The following is a 19,201-nucleotide window of genomic DNA, read 5'->3' as shown; positions in this document are numbered from 1 at the left end:
ACCTAGTCTCTACAAATTAAAAAAAAGAAAAAGAAGAAGAAGAAAAGAAAACAACAAATTCTTGGACCATACAATTAATTTGGACTACCAAATTAAAATCTCCAGGTATTGGGCAGTTACAATACTTAACCTTAATCACAGGTAATACTGATGGTGGTGATCCAAAGACTACACTCTAAGAAACATAACCCTTAGCTAAGAAACCATGTATTTTACTATATAATCACTACAATAAAGTTAATATGGTGAAATAATTTGGATATTGGTCCTGAACATGGGTTAGAATCTACAGGCTAGTGGCCAAAGCTTATAAATAGTTTCATTATTCAGAGAGACGGTCATTGTAGTATCAAAAGCTGAACTATACAGTGACAATATTGCATTAATATTGGGCTGCTTGCTCTAAGTGTGGTCCTCTGACCAGCAGCTCAGAATTTTGGGGGCCCATCTTAGACTTGCTAAAAGAAAATCTCTGGGGCTGGGGCCCAGGCAGCCCTGTTTTAAAAAATTTATTCAGGTGTTTCTTCTGCACTGTGCATGCTCGAACACACTTTAGTTAATACAAGCACATTTTATAACAATAACAATAAATACTTAATAATCACATTTTTTTCTTGCCTTGTTTTGATAAGGCACACAGTGACTTATCTAAGGCCACACCCTCTCAGTTTACCTCCCACCCGCCACTCCACTGTGGTACAAGGTACATCTGTGTAGCACAGAAAGTTCAAGCCAGATTTATTTTCCACTAACGGAGGGACAATTAGCATGGTGTGGGCAGACAAAGAGCTCAGACCTTGCTCACAACTATGGTGGCAGGGGTACTGTACAAGAAGACAATCCCCTTGGGCTCTACAGATTGAAATGCCCCCGACTCAAGTGGGCACCTTTTTCTTTTATTTATTTATTTATTTATTTATTTATTTATTTTGAGACAGAGTCTCACTCTCTCACTCTGTTGTCCAGGCAGGAGTATTGTGGTGTGATCTTAGCTCACCATAACCTCTGCCTCCCGGGTTCAAGCGATTCTCATGCCTCAGCCTCTGAGGTAGCTGGGATTATAGGCGCCCGCCACAACACCAGCTAATTTTTGTATTTTAGTAGAGATGGGGTTTCTCCATGTTGGCCAGGCTGGTCTTGAACTCCTGAATTCAAGTGATCCACCCACCTTAACCTCCCAAAGTGTTGGGATTACAGGCATGAGCCATTGCGCCCAGCCCAGTAAGCACCTTTCCATGACATCTCCTAGGGATTCCGACGCAAGCCAGCTAACAAAAATCAAATGAAAACTTGGTGGTGATGGTGGTTTTTCCCCTCTAAATTATGTCCATGATAGGGTACATTTGTTCTCATATCTTTGAATGCACTGAAATATCCGGGGGAAACAATAAAAATATGTATTCTGTGGTTGCAACCTGAGCTTCTGATTCAGACAGGGCCTCCCAAATCTGTATTTTTAATGAGTTGCCTAGGAGATTCTTATGCATATCAAGGTTTGAGACTCACTGGTATTACGGGGAGAAACCTATGATACTGAGGAGATCTGAGCTTCAGTCAAACTTATCTACTATTTAGTATACAAGCCTTGCTACATCTTAGCTTCCTCAAAGTAGTAATAATACCTCACAGGATTATGATAGTAATCAATGTGCAAGGCCTTAATAAAAGGTAAAATCAACAAAATCACCAGGTGCAGAATTCCACAATTAAGGGAACTGTGGAATTCTGCACCTGCTGGCTTTGTTGACTTTACTTAAGGGAATTCTACAATTAGGGTCCCTTGGCCTCTAAAGGTAACTTCACTGACAAGCATTCCATGTCAGATGCAGATTCTGAGACAGAAGGCAGTCTGACAATTTGTGTTACAGGTTGAATTGTACCCCCCATCCCAAAAAATATGTTAAAGTCCAATATTCTAAAACCTCAGAATGGGACCTTATTTGGAGATAGGGTCTTTACAGAGAGAATCAAGTTGAAATGAGATCATTAGGGTGTCCCTAATTCAATATGATTGTTGTCCTCATAAAAAGTGGAAATTTGAACACAGAAACAGACACAACAGGATAGAGGTGAAGCAGGAGACAGGGCTTACAGATCAGACTGAGGACTAGCTAAGACACAGCCAGGGTGAAAGCAACTTTCAGTTGGACATGCCCACTAATATGCCATGTCAATTTACCATTGCCATGGCAACACCTGGGAGTTACCATCCCTTTCCATGCAATGATCCAATGACCCAAAAGTTACTAACCCTTCCCTAGAAATTTCCGCATAAGTCACTCCTTAATCTGCATTTTATTAAAGTGGGTATAAATATGACTGCAAAACTGCCCTGAGCTGCTACTGTCAGCACACTGCCTGTGGGGTAGTGCTACTCTGCAGGAGAAGGCACAGAGCTGTTGCACTGCCAAAGCTGTAACACTGCTGCTTCACCAAAGCTGTTTTCCTCTACCTCTAGCTGGCCCTTGAATTCTTTCCTGGGCAAAGCCAAGAACCCTCATGGACTAAGCCCCACTTTGGGGCTCATCTGCCCTGCATCAGAGGGACAACAATGAAGAGACGGGGAGAAGATGCCCTTCTACAAGAAACACAGAGAGGCATGGAACAGGCTCCCCCTCACAGTCCTCAGAAGGAATAAATCCTTGCTCTTAGACTTCTAGCTTCCAGAACTGACACAGTAAATTTCTATGATCCCAGCCACCCAGTATGTGGTACTTTGTTACAGCAGCTCTAGAAAACTAATACAATCCGTCAGCTTCCAATTCAAGAGAAAAATGCCCTTCTCCTGTCCCTATGGTTAGGCATACGGCCACCTGATGCTTCTCGGATTCCCCAGGGCTTACTCTAGGCCCTTCACCAGGCACATTCATAAAGCTCCATCTAAACAACTTCTGAGGTTCATCAAAGAGCCAGCTCAGCCCGACAAGGCATTGCTGCAGGCTCCATTGGGCTGTCTCCAGCCTATAGCTACTGTCACAAGATCGGGGCACTCAAACATGTGACAGGTTCACCAGCAAAAACCAGCCAACAATTTACCATCCTTTATTACTGTTAAAATCCATCCCTGCGCAGCCAGCTTGTACCCTTCTACTCCTTCTGTCAGAGCAGCACTCAGGCCAGCTTCTGGTTCCCCACCAGCTTCTCCAAGAGCTGGTTAAACCCAAACCCCACCCCAGAGCCAGTCTCAGCCTCACCTAGGGACCCTAATCAAGAGGACTCATAAAAGCCCTCAGAGAGGTGACTTCCTCACACTAAATGCAGCTTTCATTCTCACCTAAGTAGGACAAAACACATTGGGAAAATGCCAGAAAATTAAATTACCCCAAAGAAAATAAAAAGCCCTTTCTGTATGCATTTTAAATGGAGCCCTACAGGGTCTTAGAAACCAGAAGCGGTGCAGGAGTGAGGAGCAAACTGCGACACAGTCAGTTGAGATGGGTGTTGTGTCTCAGAAAGGAGTTGGGTCTGTCAAGTGTACATGGCCAGCAGGCATCTGCCCTGCAGGGTGCCTGTCCCCAGTCCCCTGGCTGCCTTCACCCTCTATAGGAAACCCTCCTAGGATCCTCCCTAGGGCTCCCGATTCAGTTTAGTGAGTCAGGTGGGGTTTCGGAACTAGCAGTTTTAATAAGCTTCCCTAGAGATTCTGAAGCGTACCCAGGGCTAAGAACCGCAACCCTGAATTACAGACAGGTTCCAACAGCACATCCCAAGAAAAGGAGGAAGCAGGGTTCTGGTGCCAGCTTTGTCAAGCGTCACACCCCTCTGAGCCTCAGTTCTTTCCCTATCAAAGGGAGACACCCACCTACAGCCATTCCAACCACCTTTCTTTAAAATAAAATAAATACTGACAATAAAAGTAAACTTCCCTCGAGTCACTGAGTTTTCCCACACAGACATCTGCCCTGTCTTCCTGGGTGTACTAAACGTCCTGTCTTCTTGAGTGTACCAAACCTAACTGCTTTGTGGCTGTGCCTCAGGCTGCCCTTGGCTGATGTTTTACCCACAGGGCAAGCTCCTTTAACTCCATCAGGGAGAGCCTAGGAGTGACAGGTGTTGAGTCCAGTAGAGAGCCCTTCAAGGAGAAAATTAAGCCTCTTAAAGTACTCTCCATGTAATCTCCCAAACCCAGGAATAATCCACGCCCCCCTTGGAAGATCCAGCATGCATGACCTCGGGCTACACTTGGGAAATAGCCTCATTTATATGAAACTAGGACCTAGGTGCGGTGCCAAGTAATTAAATGGACTATATTGAAGCAATGCAAATGAAGAAAGAAGAGGAGATTTAATTTAAACACAGGACGAGAATGCTTTGGGGATCTTTTAACCTGGGTGTCTGAAAGCAGCGCAGAGAGGGCCCACTGAACTCCCCAATGAGCTCAAATGCTTAGGAGAAGAAGGAGACATCTCCCCCTGTGAAGAAGTGGACTCTGGGGATGAGTGATTCACCAAAACAAGTCACCAGAACATTAAGGTCCATGATAAACACTTCAGACAAGTCCATTTATCATCTTCAACCCAGAGACAAAAGTTGCCAAGTAGACTGCTTAAGTACCCCCTTCAGAGATAAAGATGAGAACTGCAACCATTTGTCTCCATCCAGCTGTCCTCTGCAGGTGCCTTCTACCACTCAACAAGTATTTAATAAGGATGTGCTTTCTTCATTCAATACTTGAACCCCTAACTCTCAACACATGACCTAAAAATACTGCACCATGAGACACTGGTTTCCACTTCAACATTATGCTCTTCCTTAGCTCAAGTCTGGAAAAGACTTCCATTCCCTCATCCAAGGCTAACCTCTAACCAGCAAGTTTCCTTCATCAATCATTAAGAATTTTTTGTCGAGTACCTATCATGTGCCAGGCATTCTTGCAGGCACTTGGGGATACAGCGGCAGAGATGATTTCTCTTCTGGAGCTTATATTCTAGATGCAGTGAGATAGACAATAAGTGAGTCCTGTATGTAATATCAGGGAATAGTAAATGATAGAAAAATAAGGAAGAAGCTTGAGAACAGGGGCCAGGGGATGCCGGCGTGACCTCATAAGAGGTGATCCTGGAGAGATTCCTAATGAAGAGAAAGGTGAGAGAGCGCCCCCAACTTTAAGCCAGGAAGAAACATCCAGCAAGAAGCATGGAGCTGGAGAAGCCGGGGGTAGGAGAACCAGATTGTGACATGGAAGCCAGTGGAAGGGTTCCAAAGAGAAAGCAATGACCTGGCCAAATGCTGAGGAGAGCCTGTAGAAGATGACAACTAAAGAGTTAGCCACTGGATTGTACCACATGGGTATTGCCACTACCTTAATAAGTGTGGTTCTGGGAGGGGCACAGTGGCTCATGCCTGTAATCCCAACACTTCGGGAGGCCAAGGCAGGCGGATCACTTGAACCCAGGAGTTTGAAACCAGCCTGGGCAACGTGGCAAAACAAAAAAACAAAAATTGGCAAAAAGCCAGATTGGAGTGAGTTCAAGAAACAATGAGAGAGCAGGAAATGGTGTCAGTGAGTATGACAGTTCTTTCAAATATTTTTACTATGAAGGGCATGTAGAGGAATGGAAGAACAGCAGACTAGGACACAGGGTCAAGAGTATTTTCTTCCTGCTGTTTTTTTTTTTCCTCTCTTTTTTTTTTTTGAGATGGAGTCTCGCTTTGTCACACGATCTCGGCTCACTGCAACCTCTGCCTCCTGGATTCAAGCAATTCTCCTGTCTCAGCCTCCCGAGTAGCTGGGACTACAGGCACACGCCACCATGCCCAGCCAATTTTTGTGTTTTTAGTAGAGACGGGGTTTCACCATGTTGGTCAAGCTGGTCTCCAACTCCAGACCTCGTGATCCGCCCACCTCAGCCTCCCAAAGTGCTGGGATTACGCGTGAGGGACCACACCCAGCCTGCTGTTTTTTTCCTTTAGATGACAGGTACTACTGCATGTTTCTGATGGGGACTATCCATCAGAGTGAGAAACTGATGATGCAAAAGGGAAAGGAGATAGCTGCATGTATGAAAGCCAAGAGAGGACAGGATCTCATTCACACGTGTGTGCTGGTAGGTTAGTAAGTTTAGTATAGGAAGATGATGAAAGTAGCTTCTAATTGCTTCTTCTCTCAGTGAAATAAGCCAGGTCATCAGCTGAGAAGTGGGTATAGAAACATAGTGGACCTGAAAGTGTCAAGAGTCCCCTTGAGGTTTGTGGCCATAAATTAAAAGCAAGACAATGCAGAGAGATATGTGTTTTCTCTAGGCAGGATCATCAGCCTGAAGCTGAAGGAGAGTGAGCAGAGGGTGGGCTTAACCAAGGATGGGGTTTTCTTTCCGAGGACAGTAAGACAAAGCGGGGAAAGGTCAAGGTAGTTGAGGGTATATGCAAGAATCTGAGCTGGGTAAGGAGGACAAGAAAGGGATGATGGACAATGAAAAAGAAAGGGCCACCAGGTCAGAAGCCCTTGTAGGTGAAAGCTAGGTGGAACCAAGTACTAGAGGCAATAAGACAAAAGAGAAAAGGGGACGGTCAGACTGGTGAGTTTGTCCAGATTTTGCTGGAGGTGCGGTTATCAGTAATGATTAGGTCTACAACCACATTTTTCAAATAATGGGGTGCAAGTTTAGTAGGCAGTGAAATCAGTTTAGTGGGTCAGAAACAGCATCTTATTGTTTTAATGAAACAATAAAAAGCATGAAAGTACATTATACCCAGTAAGAGTAAATACTGTTTTGTGAAACTTCTGTGTGTTTGTATTGGGTCATCACATAAGCTATATTTCTCCTATGGCTTGGGGTTAAAAAACACTTCAAAGACACTAGAGCAAGGGTTCTTGACCCTGGGACTACTGACATTTTGGATGGCATAATTCTTTGTTGTGTGGGGCTGTCCTGTGCATTGCAGGGTGTTCAGTAGCCTCACTAGAATGTCAATAGCATCTCTTCTTCCTCCAAAGTTGTGCCAAAAGAAGTCTCTAGACATTGCCAAATATCCTCCTTGTCTAGAATCAGTGGTCTAGAGATAACCATGTGAGCGATGGCTGAAGCAGGGTAGAGGAAAAGATAACTGAAAGAGAGTTGGTCAAGGGACTAAGAGGTTGAGAATTGGGTGGACAACCTATATAGATGTTCAAGTCACCAAAAATATTGATGGGAGGAGGGACTGTGGGCCAGATGCTAAAATCTCCAAAGAATGAGGCAAGGTGACTCAGAGGACTGTAGACGAGTGGTCCTCTACCCTGGCTGCACATTAGAATCACATGGAGAACTTACCCACCAATGCCCAGGCCCCATCCCAAACCAACTACATCAGAACCTCCAGGTGATTCCAATGTGCAGCTAGGTCCAGGAACAGTGCAGAAGAAACCCATCCTGCAAAGCGCCACTTAAACATGACCTCCTTCATGACAATTTCCCTTCCAGGTCTCTTTGTTTCCTGCACTCCACTATCACTACCAATTCTGCTTTACTTAGAGCTGACCTAGGAAATCACTAGAAAAACATTCAAGGCTCTAAAACTAAGTGGCTGGCACTCCAGCCTGGGTGATAGAGCGAGACCCTGTCTCTAAAAATAAACAAAACAAATTAAAACTAAGTGGCTGAAAACAGAATAAACGTTCACCTGCTAAAAAATTTTAGAACTAGGAGATCAGTGAGAAGGAAAGCTTTTTAGGGAATACTCTGCTTGAGCTTTGGTTCATCCAAATCTCTCAAGGACATCCAGACAAGCGAGGGTCCCAGAGGACAGCCAAACACTTATGTGTCACTGATAAGCATCATTAGAAACAAAACCCCTTTGGAAGGCCGAGGAAGGCAGATCACTTGAGCTCAGGAGTTTGAGACCAGCCTGGGCAACACGGTGAAACCCTGTCTCTGCTAAAAATAGAAAAATTAGCCAAGCATGGTGGTACATGGCTGTAATCCTAGCTACTTGGGTGGCTAAGGCAGGACAACGGCTTGAACCCAGGAAGCAGAGGCTGCAGTGAGCCCAGATTGCACCACTGCACTCCAGCCTGGGTGACAGAGTGAGACCCTACTTCAAAAAAAAAAAAAAAAAAAAACCGGAAACATAACCCCTTTGCTGACACTGAAATAAACATTTGTTGAAATTAATGGCTACTGCGCTTAATTTCCTCCAAAAAAATGCATGAATGATCAGATTGTGACACAATTTATGCCACATTTATCATCTGGTCACCATATTATTCTCAATGCCCTTCACATGTAGCCAACATTTTATTAAAAGAAATCAATGACATAAAATCTTGAATATGCATGTATGACATGAAAAAAACCAGGAATCAGAATCTCCTCTTTCCCAAGAGAATTCATTATAGACTATTTAAAATGATACCCATGAATTCTCACTTTCACTGCTGATGAAACATATATCTATCTATAAAACATCATTAAATCCCCAAATATCTACAACAAATTCAGACAAGAATTAAGTAACATGACTCAAATATTAATTTTTCCCAGCTTGGGGAAATTGGCAGAATTGCATTAAATGTCCCTTGACTGAGATTCTAACTTTCACCTGTATTAATCCATTCTCACACTACTATAAGGACATATCCAAGACTGGGTAATTGATAAAGGAAACAGGTATATTGAGTCACAGTTCAGCATGGTGGGGAGGTCTGAGGAAACTTACAATAATGGCAGAAGGGGAAGCAAACATGTCCTTCTTCACATGGCGGCAGGAGAGAGAACTGCCAGGCAAAGGGGGAAAAGCCCCTCATAAAACCATCAGATCTCGTGAGATCTCACTTACTATCAGAAGAACAGCATGGCGGTAACCGCCCCCATAATTCAATAACCTCCCACTGCTGTGGGGATTATGGGAACTACAAGATGAGATTTTTGCGTGAGGACACAGCCAAACCATATCATTCCACCCCTGCCCCCTCCCAAATCTCATGTCCTCACATTTCAAAACATAATCATGCCTTTCCAACAGTCCCCCTAAGTCTTAGTTCATTGCAGGATGAACCCAAAAGTCCAGGTCCAAAGTCTAATCTGAGACAAGGCAAGTCCCTTTCACCTATAAGCCTGTAAAATCAAAAGCAAGTTAGTTACTTCCTAGATACAAAGGTGGTACAGGAATTGCCTAAATACACTCATTCCAAATAGGAGAAATTGGCCAAAATAAAGGGGCTCCAGGCCCCATGCAAGTCCAAAATCCAATAGGGTAGTCATTTAACCTTAAAGTTCCAAAATGCTCTCCTTTGACTCCATGTCTCACATCCACATTACACTGATGCAAGAGGTGGGTTCCCATGACCTTGGACAGCTTCGCCCCTGTGGCTTTGCAGTGTACACCCTCCCTCTCAGCTGATTCACAGGCTAGTGTTGAGTGTCTGCAGCTTTTCCAGGTATGTGGTGCAAGCTGTTGGTGGATCTACTATTCTGGGGTGTGAGGATGGTGGCCCTCTTCTCAGAGCTTCATTAGGCAGTGCCCCAATGGGGACTCTGTGTGGGGGTTCCGACCCCACATTTTCCTTCTGCACTGCCCTAGCAGAGGTTCTCCATGAGGGCTCCGCTCCTGCAGCAAACTTCTCCCTGGACATCCAAGCATTTCTTACTTTTTTTTTTTTTTTTTTTTTTTTTTTTTGTTTGAGACGGAGTCTCGCTCTGTCACCCAGGCTAGAGTGCAGTGGCGCATCCAGGCATTTCTATACAGCCTCCGAAATCTAGGCAGAGGTTCCCAAACCTCAATTCTTGTCTTCTGCACGCCTGCAGGACCAACATCAACTGGAAGCTGCCACGGCTTGGGGCTTGCATCCTACGAAGCAATGGCCTAAGCTGTACTTTGGCCCCTTGTAGCCACTGCTGGAGCGGCTGGGATGCAGAGCACCAAGTCCCAAGGCTGCACACAGCAGGGGGCCCTGGACCCAGCCCACGAAACCATTTTTCCCTCCTAGGCCTCCGGGCCTGAGATGGGAGGGGCTGCCGCAAAGGTCTCTGGTTACTTATGCAAATTTCTGCAGCTGGCTTGAAATTCTCCCCAGAAAATGAGTTTTTCTTTTCTACTGCGTCAGGCTACAAATCTTCTAAACTTTTATGCTCTGTCACCTCCTAAATGCTCTGCTGCTTAGAAATTTCTTCCCCCAGATACCCTAAATCATCTCTCTCAAATTCAAAGTTCCACAGATCTCTAGGGCATGGGCAAAAAGCCACCAGTCTCTTTGCTGAAGCATAGCAAGAGTCACCTTGGCTCCAGTTCCCAAGAAGTTCCTCATCTCCATCTGAAACCACCTCAGCCTAGAATTTATTGTCCATATCACTATCAGCATTTTGATCAAAACCATTCAACAAGTCTCTGGGAAGTTCCAAACTTTCCCACATCTTCCTGTCTTCTTCTGAGCCCTCCAAACTGTTCCAATGTCACTTCCACATTTTTAGGTATCTTTATAGCAGCACCCCACTCTCTGCGGTACCAATTTACTCTATTACCCATACCCAAGACTGGGTAATTTATAAAGGAAACAGGTTTAATTGAGTCACAATTCAGCATGGCTGGGGCAGGGGGCAGTTGGGGGGCCTCAGGAAACTTACAAACATGGTGGAAGGGAAAGCAAACACATCCTTCTTCACATGACGGCAGGAGAGAGAAGTGCCAAGCAAAGGGGTAAAAGGCCCTTATGAAACCATCAGATCTCGTGAGATCTCACTCACTATCATGAGAATAGCATGAGTATAGCACCCCCATGGTTCAATAACTTCCCACCAGGTCCCTCCCACGACACGTGGGGATTATGGCAACTACAGTTCAAGATGAGATTCTGCATGGGTACACAGCCAAACCATATCACATCCATAACACGGCTGGCTGGAAAAGAGCACAAGACCCATGGAAGAGAGGTAGCTAGTTCCTCTAAACCAGTGGTTCTCCATAGAACTCATCAGTTCTATCAAGATTACAAAAATCACATTAAGAGTCTGGGTTGAAAATGGTAGAAGCATAACAGCCATCTAAGCCAGGGATTGGATGGAAAGAAACCTGGGTTCAAACACCAGCCCAGCCCTCTCTGGGTGATCCACAGGATAAGACTCTTCTGGAAACTTGTTAATAATGCAAATCAAACCCCACCAAGGACCAAAGGAATCTGAAACTCAGGCCCAATAATCTGGGGTTTAACAAGCCCTGCAGGTGATTTCCATGCATTTTAGTTTGGGAACCACTGATGTAATCTCAAGCATGGTTTTCAGATTGTGCAGCACAGCCCTGGTTTCCAGTGGGTTGAGATTCTGGATCTCCCATCAGGATTCAGAGAGTCACACAGTATGTACTTTTTTCAATGTAGAGCAGGGTGTGGTGGCTCACACCTGTAATCCCAGTGCTTTGGGAGGTCAAGGTGGGAGGATCACTTGAGGTCAGGAGTTCGAGACCACTCTGGGCAACACAGTGAGACATGGTCTCTACAAAAAAATATCAAATACAAATTAGCCAGGTATGGTGGCAAGTTCCTGTAGCCACAGTTTCACAGGAGGCCGAGGCAGGAGGATCACTTGAGCCCGGGAGTTTGAGGCTGTAGTGAGGTGTGATTGTACAACTGCACTCCAGCCTGGGCATCAGAGAGACCCTGTCTCTAAAAATATTATTCAGATAAAAAATAAAAATAAAATGTGAAATGCTTTTGAAAGGCTGGCTTTAGCTGCAACTGGCAAAAACTCATCATTCTATCAAGATTTCAAAAATCACATTAGGAGGCTGGGTTGAAAATGGTAGAGGTGGAACAGCCAGCTAAGCCAGAGATCGTATGGAAAGAGACTTGGATTCAAACACCAACCCAGCCCTCTCTGGGCCTCAATTAGGAAAACCAAGTTTGAGGAGATGCTGCTGCTATCTAGAAAGGCTTCTCAGGCCAGGCACCGTGGCTCATGCCTGTAATTCCAGCATTTTGAGAGGCCGAGGAAGGTGGACTGCCTGAGCCCAAGAGTTCCAGACCAGCCTGGCCAACATGGTGAAACCCCATCTCTACTAAAAACACAAAAATTAGCTGGGAGTGGTGGCGCATGCCCTTAATCCCAGCTACTTGAGAGGCTGAGGCATGAGAATTGCTTCAACCCAGGAGGTGGAGGTTGCAGTGAGCCAAGATCATGCCACTGCACTCCAGCTAGACCCTGTCTAAAAGTAAAAAAAAAAAAAGAAAGCCTTCTCAATTGGCCAGAAGCTCTCCCTGCACTGTTGGTCTTCCTTCAGTATGGGATCAGAGAAAGTTAAGATAAAGGAGAGTGCTTGTAAGAGCTTTCCTGAGCTCTTACTTTCACCACCTCCTGGGGCAGAGGGAAACAGTTTTTCTGAAGCTATCCTTTACACTGAAGGTATAATCTACTAAAAGTTGAGAAATCAAAGCTATCCTTTACACTGAAGGTATACTCTACTAAAAGTTGAGAAATCAAAGATTTTAGAAAATAATTAATTGAAAATTTCCAAAGAGATAAGAGATTACAATGAGAGGCATCAGAGAAAGTAAGCGTGATACTTCCCAGTCTTTTTTTCTAAATGGTTGCTGGTGAGTTTCTTATCCATTAACCAAATATTTTTTAACTTGTTTTCATATAGAAAAGCCTGCGTGTTTGAACAAGTCAACCAACTGAAGCGTACATGGAGAAAGTTAATTACCTCTCCCTCCTCACTGCTAATCTTAAACAATATTTAAGTTTTGGGTGTCCTTACACATCTTTCTCCAAGGTCATACACATAGGGCTTCTTTTTTAAAATCAGAAATAAGGCCAGGCACAGTGGCTCATGCCTGTAATCATAGCACTTTGGGAGGCCAAGGCGGGTGGATCACTTGGGTCAGAAGTTCGAGACCAGCCTGGCCAACATGGTGAAATCTGTCTCTACTAAAAACACAAAAATTAGCCAGGTGTGGTGGCGGGTGCCTGTAATTCCAGCTACTCGGGAAGCCTAGGCAGGAGAATCACTTGAACCCAGGAGACAGAGGTTGCAGTGAGCCCACATCAAGCCACTGCAGTCCAGTCTGTGCGACTGAGACACCATCTCAAAAAAATAAAAATAAAAATAAAAAATCAGAAATACGGTCATGCAACATACATATGATACTCTGCAACTAGCTTTTATTTTATGTATTATTTTTAATTATGTTATGCACTACCCTCACAAAATAATCCATACTATGGATGTACCTTATTTTATTCATTTTACTGATGAACATTTGTTGCTTCTGGTTTATTTACTGAAAAAAATCCTACAACAGACACCCTTACACACAGATTCTTACATGTCAATGTTTTTCCTAATGTAAAACAAGGCTGCAAATGTGGGATTGCTGGCTCACATGGCACGTGTGCTCCAAACTTTCACAGAAATGATCTGCTTTTCCAAAAGGTTGTAGCAATTCACACTTATATCAATGGTCTGAGAATTCCCACCCTGCCCCATCGAGCAGAGAGTATTACCAACCTTTTAAAAGATGTATCAATTGTATGGACAGGAAATAATATCTGTTTTTAAATTTGTATTTCTCTGTCCACTAGAGAAGGTGAGAAGAGACACAATAATTTGCATCCCTTGTTCTGGGAACTGCCTGCTCACATCCTTTTCTCATCTTTTTATAATGTTGTATTTCAGTTACTATTTCATCACATTCTCATCTCCCCACCCTCTACCCCACCCCCGCCCTGGCTACTAGATACACAAAGTACAAAAGAGTATCACCTCCTCGGAACACAATGTGTGGGCATTGTGAGGGCAGGGGATGTCTTCTCAGCATAAAGTACATGGTAAACCCTCAAAAACATACACTGAATGAGTGAATAACAGACGTAGGGAATTAAGTTTGTTAAAACTGCAGCTAAAAGAGTAAAAAGAAAATACAAATGTTCATTCCTTGTTCTACATTTTCAGAACAGCATCAGTTTGACTGAAATTAAATTGTTGATTAAGAGAAAAACAAAACCATGGTCTTGGCACCGTCTCTGAAACTCCACTGTGAAATGGGTGGCAAATGAGCCCAGTCCTAATTCATAGCTCTGGGTGACATATAAAGACTCTCACAACTAAAGCATTTTGTACCCAACCTTGTCCACCAGCTGTTATTCAAATGGCACCTGCCCCAAGCCAAAGATTGTCAGGGTGGTCAACACACAAGAGAGGTCTACCTTAAGCATGTTATCTTCCCCTCCTCCACCCTGACTTCTTTGCCTTTCTCCAGGTTATTGAGGAGGGGGTGTGGGCCCTGCAGGGGAAATTTGACAGAGTTCACATTCCCTAACTCTTTGAACTTTAGGCAAAACATCTGGTCATACCCACCATTTATCCCTATTATTTGTAATAGTTATGTGTGGCTTATGTTTTAACTAGTCTCCTTATTAGATATAAAAGTAATACGATTAAAAAGTTCTGGGGAAAGTACTGTAATTAAAAAGGCACCAGTGGGTATGTTAAGCTGTAATTCCAGGCCTGCTTATTATGTTTTCCTTCTTGTCTTTAAAATTTTTGTACCTAATAAAAATAACTGAATTATTTAGCTCTTTTTGAGTACTTCCTGTACTGGCCAACGACCACTCAAAATCATCAGGAAAACATTATGACTCAAAAGTTCTGGAGCAATAATGTCACAGATCACAAGTTGTAGAAACTGTCTCAAGAGTCTGGACATGCCACACACACATCACAACACCACTACACAGACTGGTAAACAGACAGGCAACTTTCCAAAACACATACTCGTTTTCTAACCTTTTGAAGTTACAAAATCTTAAAAGGAAAAAAATGCAAGAATTTTGGTCAAGCCATGAAGTTATGATGATTAAGAATCAGGTTGGCCAGGTGCGGTGTCTCATGCCTGTAATCCCAGCACTCTGGGAGGCCGAGGCGGGTGGATCACCTGAGGTCAGGAGTTCGAGACCAGCCTGGCCAACATGGTGAAACCCTGTCTCTACTAAAAATACAAAAATTAGCTGGGCATGGTGGTGCGTGCCTGCAGTCCCAGCTACTTGGAAGGCTGAGGTGACAGAGCAAGACTCCATCTCGGAAAAAAAAAAAAAAAGAATCAGGCAAGAGGCAACAAAGCACGATGTATAACAATTTGTTGAGAGAGGCATTAAAAAAAAGATAAATATTAAGGTAGTAAACTTGGGAATAAAGATTGGAGGGTTTGCAATAAAGCTTCTCTTTTTTATTATGTAAGGTTTAACATGTATAAAATATATGTGGCATATACATAGTTACAAAGCATAACGCTAAAATGCATAAATACCTATTTAGATGCATAGTTTTTTTCTGAGCATAGTTGGTAAAAATTTATATCATTCACCACCTGTAATCGTCCTTTACTGCTCTAGAGAACTAACGATGTTCTGGGAGTGAGGGGTGAAGGAGGGGAAATCAGGTTAATTTTGAGAGAGAAAAGACAGATATTGACTAGAAAATAACATACTCACCTCTTCCTAAACCCTAATTTCACTTAAAAATACTCTAGGGAACAGTGTTTGGAAAAACCTGAATGAGTCAGCAGTAGATGAGTTCAAAACACATATATAGCCTATGCCTGTACAGAATATCCCTAGTAACTCATTCAACAGGGTCAAGTTGTTAAAAGTTCGCTTTCTCTTTCGAGGTAGAAGCTCCACATCAATGCCAAAAAGAGAGACCCTCTAATACTCTTTGGAATCTCCCTGATAACTTAAATGGTTACAAAGGCAGAGAGAAACCAGTGGCTTCCCCAATATGAAGAGACCTGTTTCTGTGATTAAGGTGCTCCCTCTAAGACTGGAAACTTAAAACGGATTGAGGCTTTCTGCAACTGATTTCTCTTCTAAATTAGCTATGCTAATTTTGGAAAAATATATCTTGGGCTCTGGGTGTTTTCCACTATTCTAGTGCTCAATGAAAAAAAAAAGGCATTCGTGTAGGCATCCCTCTTCTCTCAAGACCACTTGTCACACCCACCGCCATCCTCTGATTTTGCATAGAGGTCCCAAATAAGCAATCAAGGTAGGTAAAATCTTGGCTGACATTCATATCGGAGTCACTTTTGCAGGCGCTTCATGAAATGAATCAGGGAAAGAGCTGCCTAACACCTAACATCTCCAGGCACATCTCCCACAGGAAAGCCTCTCCCCTCCCTCTGCACACCTAACCCCCAACCCCAGAGGTTTCTGTGGTCCCTTCTAGCCTCTTCAGTGAAGAAGACCGGAAGTGCCGACAAAACCTCAATACTATGACATCATTTCGGTAACACTCCAAGGAGAACACGTTCCTGCAATTGGCTGCCTGTAGGTTGGCAAACACGCCCGTGCCCTGTCCCATCACAAAGCAGAGGTCACAGTCTACTTCAAAAGTAAAGATTCCCCACTCCCGCTTCCCCCTCACTCCAGAGAGGTCGCTGCCTCCAAGCTCTGGAGAAGGGAGGTCAGCGTGCAACCTTACAATGCCACAGCTTAACACACCCAGGTATTATTAATGGAAAAGTAAGTGGTACTTACAGCACCAGGGCAATTTACGTGTATTTTGGGGACCACTTCTCCAAGACATCATCCCTACCCAACCGTCTTTAATTATGTCTTTGACAACGCCAACACTTCAGTTCATTCCTCTCTCATCTTCTGGAAAGAACCAGAAGTTTTCACTATGAGACACAGGAATTCTGGCCTAAGTTGTCCCAGCTCTTCAAGGACAGCAAGAATCCAAGTTTCCCCACGCGTCACCTGAAGCCCCAACTTCTGGAAACGCCCTCCTTTCCTCGCCTCTACGAGCTGCGAGAGCAGAACACGCAGCCGCGGGCGCTACTGCTGTCGCCGCTAAAGCCAAAGAGGCGACTGGAAGCTCAGGCTGTTCGGCGGCCTCGGGGCGACCACAGGCCAGGCCCTGGTCCTGATCCACGAACCAAGGCGCCTCCTCTCCCCCAGGAAGTGAGCTACTGCGCCCCTCGGAGCACCCAGGCGAGCCCGGGCACCGGGAGAACGCTCTACACTCGGCGCCCAGCCCCGGGACGCCGCCCAGCGCACGGCTCCGGCTGAGCACCCGGGCAGCGGTAGCTGCGGGGAAGAGGGGCGTGTTCCCTGAGCCTCGGAGCCCCAAGGCCGGGTCCAGGCGGGACAGAGGAAGGCGGCAAGCCCAGCACGCTGTCCGTGACGGCGGCTCTCGTTCCCAAGCCCCGCCGGCTGGCGTGGCGACGCGCTGTAGTCCGCGCGCCCTTGCGGGGACAGCAGTCGTGCGCGCCTTGTGCGGCCGCCTCCGCGCCTGCCTCGGCGCGCAAACTTTCCCGGCGACAACCGATCAGGCCTCTCCGACTGGGGCGCGGGGCTCTCCCCGGGACCCAGAAACTGCTCGCCCCCTCCCCTCCGCAGTCAAGACCCACTGAAAATATGGCGCCCTCGAAAGTCGTTCCTCGGTCCCCTCAGGGATCCCGAAATACTCGTCTCCAGGTCCCTCCAGCTTCCAATGGGCGCAAAATTTCAGCTCGTGGGACCGAGGAAGGAGAGGGAGCCGCTGAGTCTGTGTGAGGCCAGCCGCACTGGATGCAAAGCCTGGCCCCGCTCTCGGCCCGGCACTGCCCCCGTCGCTCAGCGGCCAGCAGTTCGCCCGTGGCGAGATTGCCAAGTAAAGGGCAGTCGTGGGATCGGCAGGTCTGAGTGTCCGGCACCGGAGAAGGAACTCCGCACTGGCGGGCTGTCTTAGCCCAGAGCCTCGGCGGGAGACTTGTTTGCAAAGTGGCGCTGGAGTCCCGGCGGCCAGTGCTGGAATGAAGCTGCTCCTCCAGCGCCAACTCTTCTGGCGCGGGGGCCCGGCTGGGGTCGAGGGGACACTCTATGCAGGCGGGGCCGCTTTTCAAAGCCCAGTTACCGGAAACCCAGCGAGAGCCCCGGAGGGGACCGGCTGCCCACGGCCAGGAATCCGCTCTCTGGCGCCGACTGCGAGGCTGTTTGCAAACCGCTGCGCCCGGGTCCGGTGCAGTGAAACATACATGTGCAATAGACAGGTGCATTAATTTCATTTTATTTTTATTTTCCTGCAAGAAGCCCTCCTAGACCATCAAATCTGGGAGCTTTACGGGTTTTTCCTGCATTGGCATCACTCACGAGAAGCAAAAGGGAGGAAAAAAAACCCCACATTTTCCTTCTGGAGAGGGGAGGGAAAAGACACGAGAAATTCATGCAACGTGCATGCAGCTGGAGGAAGAGGAAAACCCGAGTGAGCCGTGCGCCTTACCGGGGGATGCATTTACTGTCTCATTGCAGAGCGCCTGCCCGGGAGTGCAGCCCGCGTCCCCCCGCGCGCTGGGCGACCACTCCGCTCCCGCAGCCGCCTCAGCCGCTGCCGCCGCCGCTGGCTCCGGGCGCGGAACAAGAGCCGAGGGCGAGCGCGAGCGCACTGCCCGAGAGCGCTGGGAGGGCAGGAAGCGCGTCATCATTCGGGGACGGCGCGGCGCCGGTCCGGCCGCGGCGCCGCGCGGCACCGGGGTGGGCCGCCACCGAGGCTCAGGCGCCCGTCCTGGGTTTCCTCCCACGCGTGGTGATGCTGAAAGGGTCCGCGAGGGAAGGTGATGCACCGGCCGAGCTGTCACGGGGAAGGGAGGCTCGGGGTGACCCCGGCTTCCCAGAATTGGGGCTCTGCTGTGTAAAGGGGATGACTGCAGGACACAGCGTCTTGTAGGCTGGGGCCCCTAGGTCCGCAGAGTGCCCTCTCGGGACCTCTGGCCCGGTCCTGGGGGAAGCGAGCTGTGGCTAACTGGAGGGCCGTGGTGGGCGGTGGGGTCTTGCTGCGAAGCGGAGGGCCGTGACCCCAGGCGAGCCTGCTCCTTTCAGCACAAGGACCCTGAAACCTTGCTGGTCAGGTGTCACTTAGGTATTTAGAGAACGACTATAGGGATGAGTGGCGGTAGGGGCGTGCTGTGTTGATAAGAAGAAAATAATTCACTCCTGCTTGCCATGCCCTGAATAAAGTCAGTTATATACCTCTTACATTTACAGTCATTATTAGTAAATACTGTAAATACCATGGAACAATGTGAAGGTTATTCAAGGGGGTGAGGAGACAAAACACTATGTACCGTATGGTCCCGTTTTTAAAAACTGTGATTTATGGAGAAAGGCAGAAAAGACTGGATAGATAAACACCAATAAGTCTCTCAGTGATTGGTGGAATTGTGAGTAATTTTACTTTTTTATTTATCTGTAAGGGACACATTAGTAATTTAAAAAAACAAGAATTAGCCATGACCCCTTTACTCCTAGTACTTTGG

The 19,201-nt window shown here is 46.2% G+C and overlaps 1 protein-coding gene across 2 annotated transcripts in view, besides 4 other annotated features; it reads right to left on the bottom strand.

Annotated features, from left to right (window-relative positions):
* Positions 1-18,304, bottom strand: part of TLN2 (talin 2) — a 454,082-nt gene extending 435,778 nt beyond the window's left edge. For both annotated transcript variants that reach the window (NM_015059.3, NM_001394547.1), the window contains exon 1: positions 18,169-18,304. The gene's annotated coding sequence lies outside the window, so the exon portion shown is untranslated. The remainder of the gene's footprint in view (positions 1-18,168) is intronic.
* Positions 17,282-17,896: an enhancer, noted in NCBI's record as "H3K27ac hESC enhancer chr15:62683157-62683771 (GRCh37/hg19 assembly coordinates)". NCBI's record gives its function as "activates a minimal SCP1, AML or CMV promoter by ChIP-STARR-seq in primed H9 embryonic stem cells {active_cell/tissue: H9 hESC(primed)}" and the evidence as "EXISTENCE:reporter gene assay evidence [ECO:0000049][PMID:30033119]".
* Positions 18,075-18,404: a silencer, noted in NCBI's record as "silent region_6506". NCBI's record gives its function as "represses an Ori minimal core promoter by ATAC-STARR-seq in GM12878 lymphoblastoid cells {active_cell/tissue: GM12878}" and the evidence as "EXISTENCE:reporter gene assay evidence [ECO:0000049][PMID:35858748]".
* Positions 18,452-18,648: a silencer, noted in NCBI's record as "fragment chr15:62682405-62682601 (GRCh37/hg19 assembly coordinates)". NCBI's record gives its function as "represses an EF-1alpha promoter that drives an FKBP-Casp9 reporter gene in an ReSE screen in HepG2 liver carcinoma cells {active_cell/tissue: HepG2}" and the evidence as "EXISTENCE:reporter gene assay evidence [ECO:0000049][PMID:32094911]".
* Positions 18,815-18,884: an enhancer, noted in NCBI's record as "active region_9522". NCBI's record gives its function as "activates an Ori minimal core promoter by ATAC-STARR-seq in GM12878 lymphoblastoid cells {active_cell/tissue: GM12878}" and the evidence as "EXISTENCE:reporter gene assay evidence [ECO:0000049][PMID:35858748]".

This window comes from Homo sapiens, chromosome 15 (assembly GCF_000001405.40).
Source record: "Homo sapiens chromosome 15, GRCh38.p14 Primary Assembly".
NCBI lineage: Eukaryota > Metazoa > Chordata > Mammalia > Primates > Hominidae > Homo > Homo sapiens.
The sequence above is the reverse complement of the archived record's forward strand: the minus strand, read 5'-3'. Positions and strand labels throughout refer to the sequence as shown.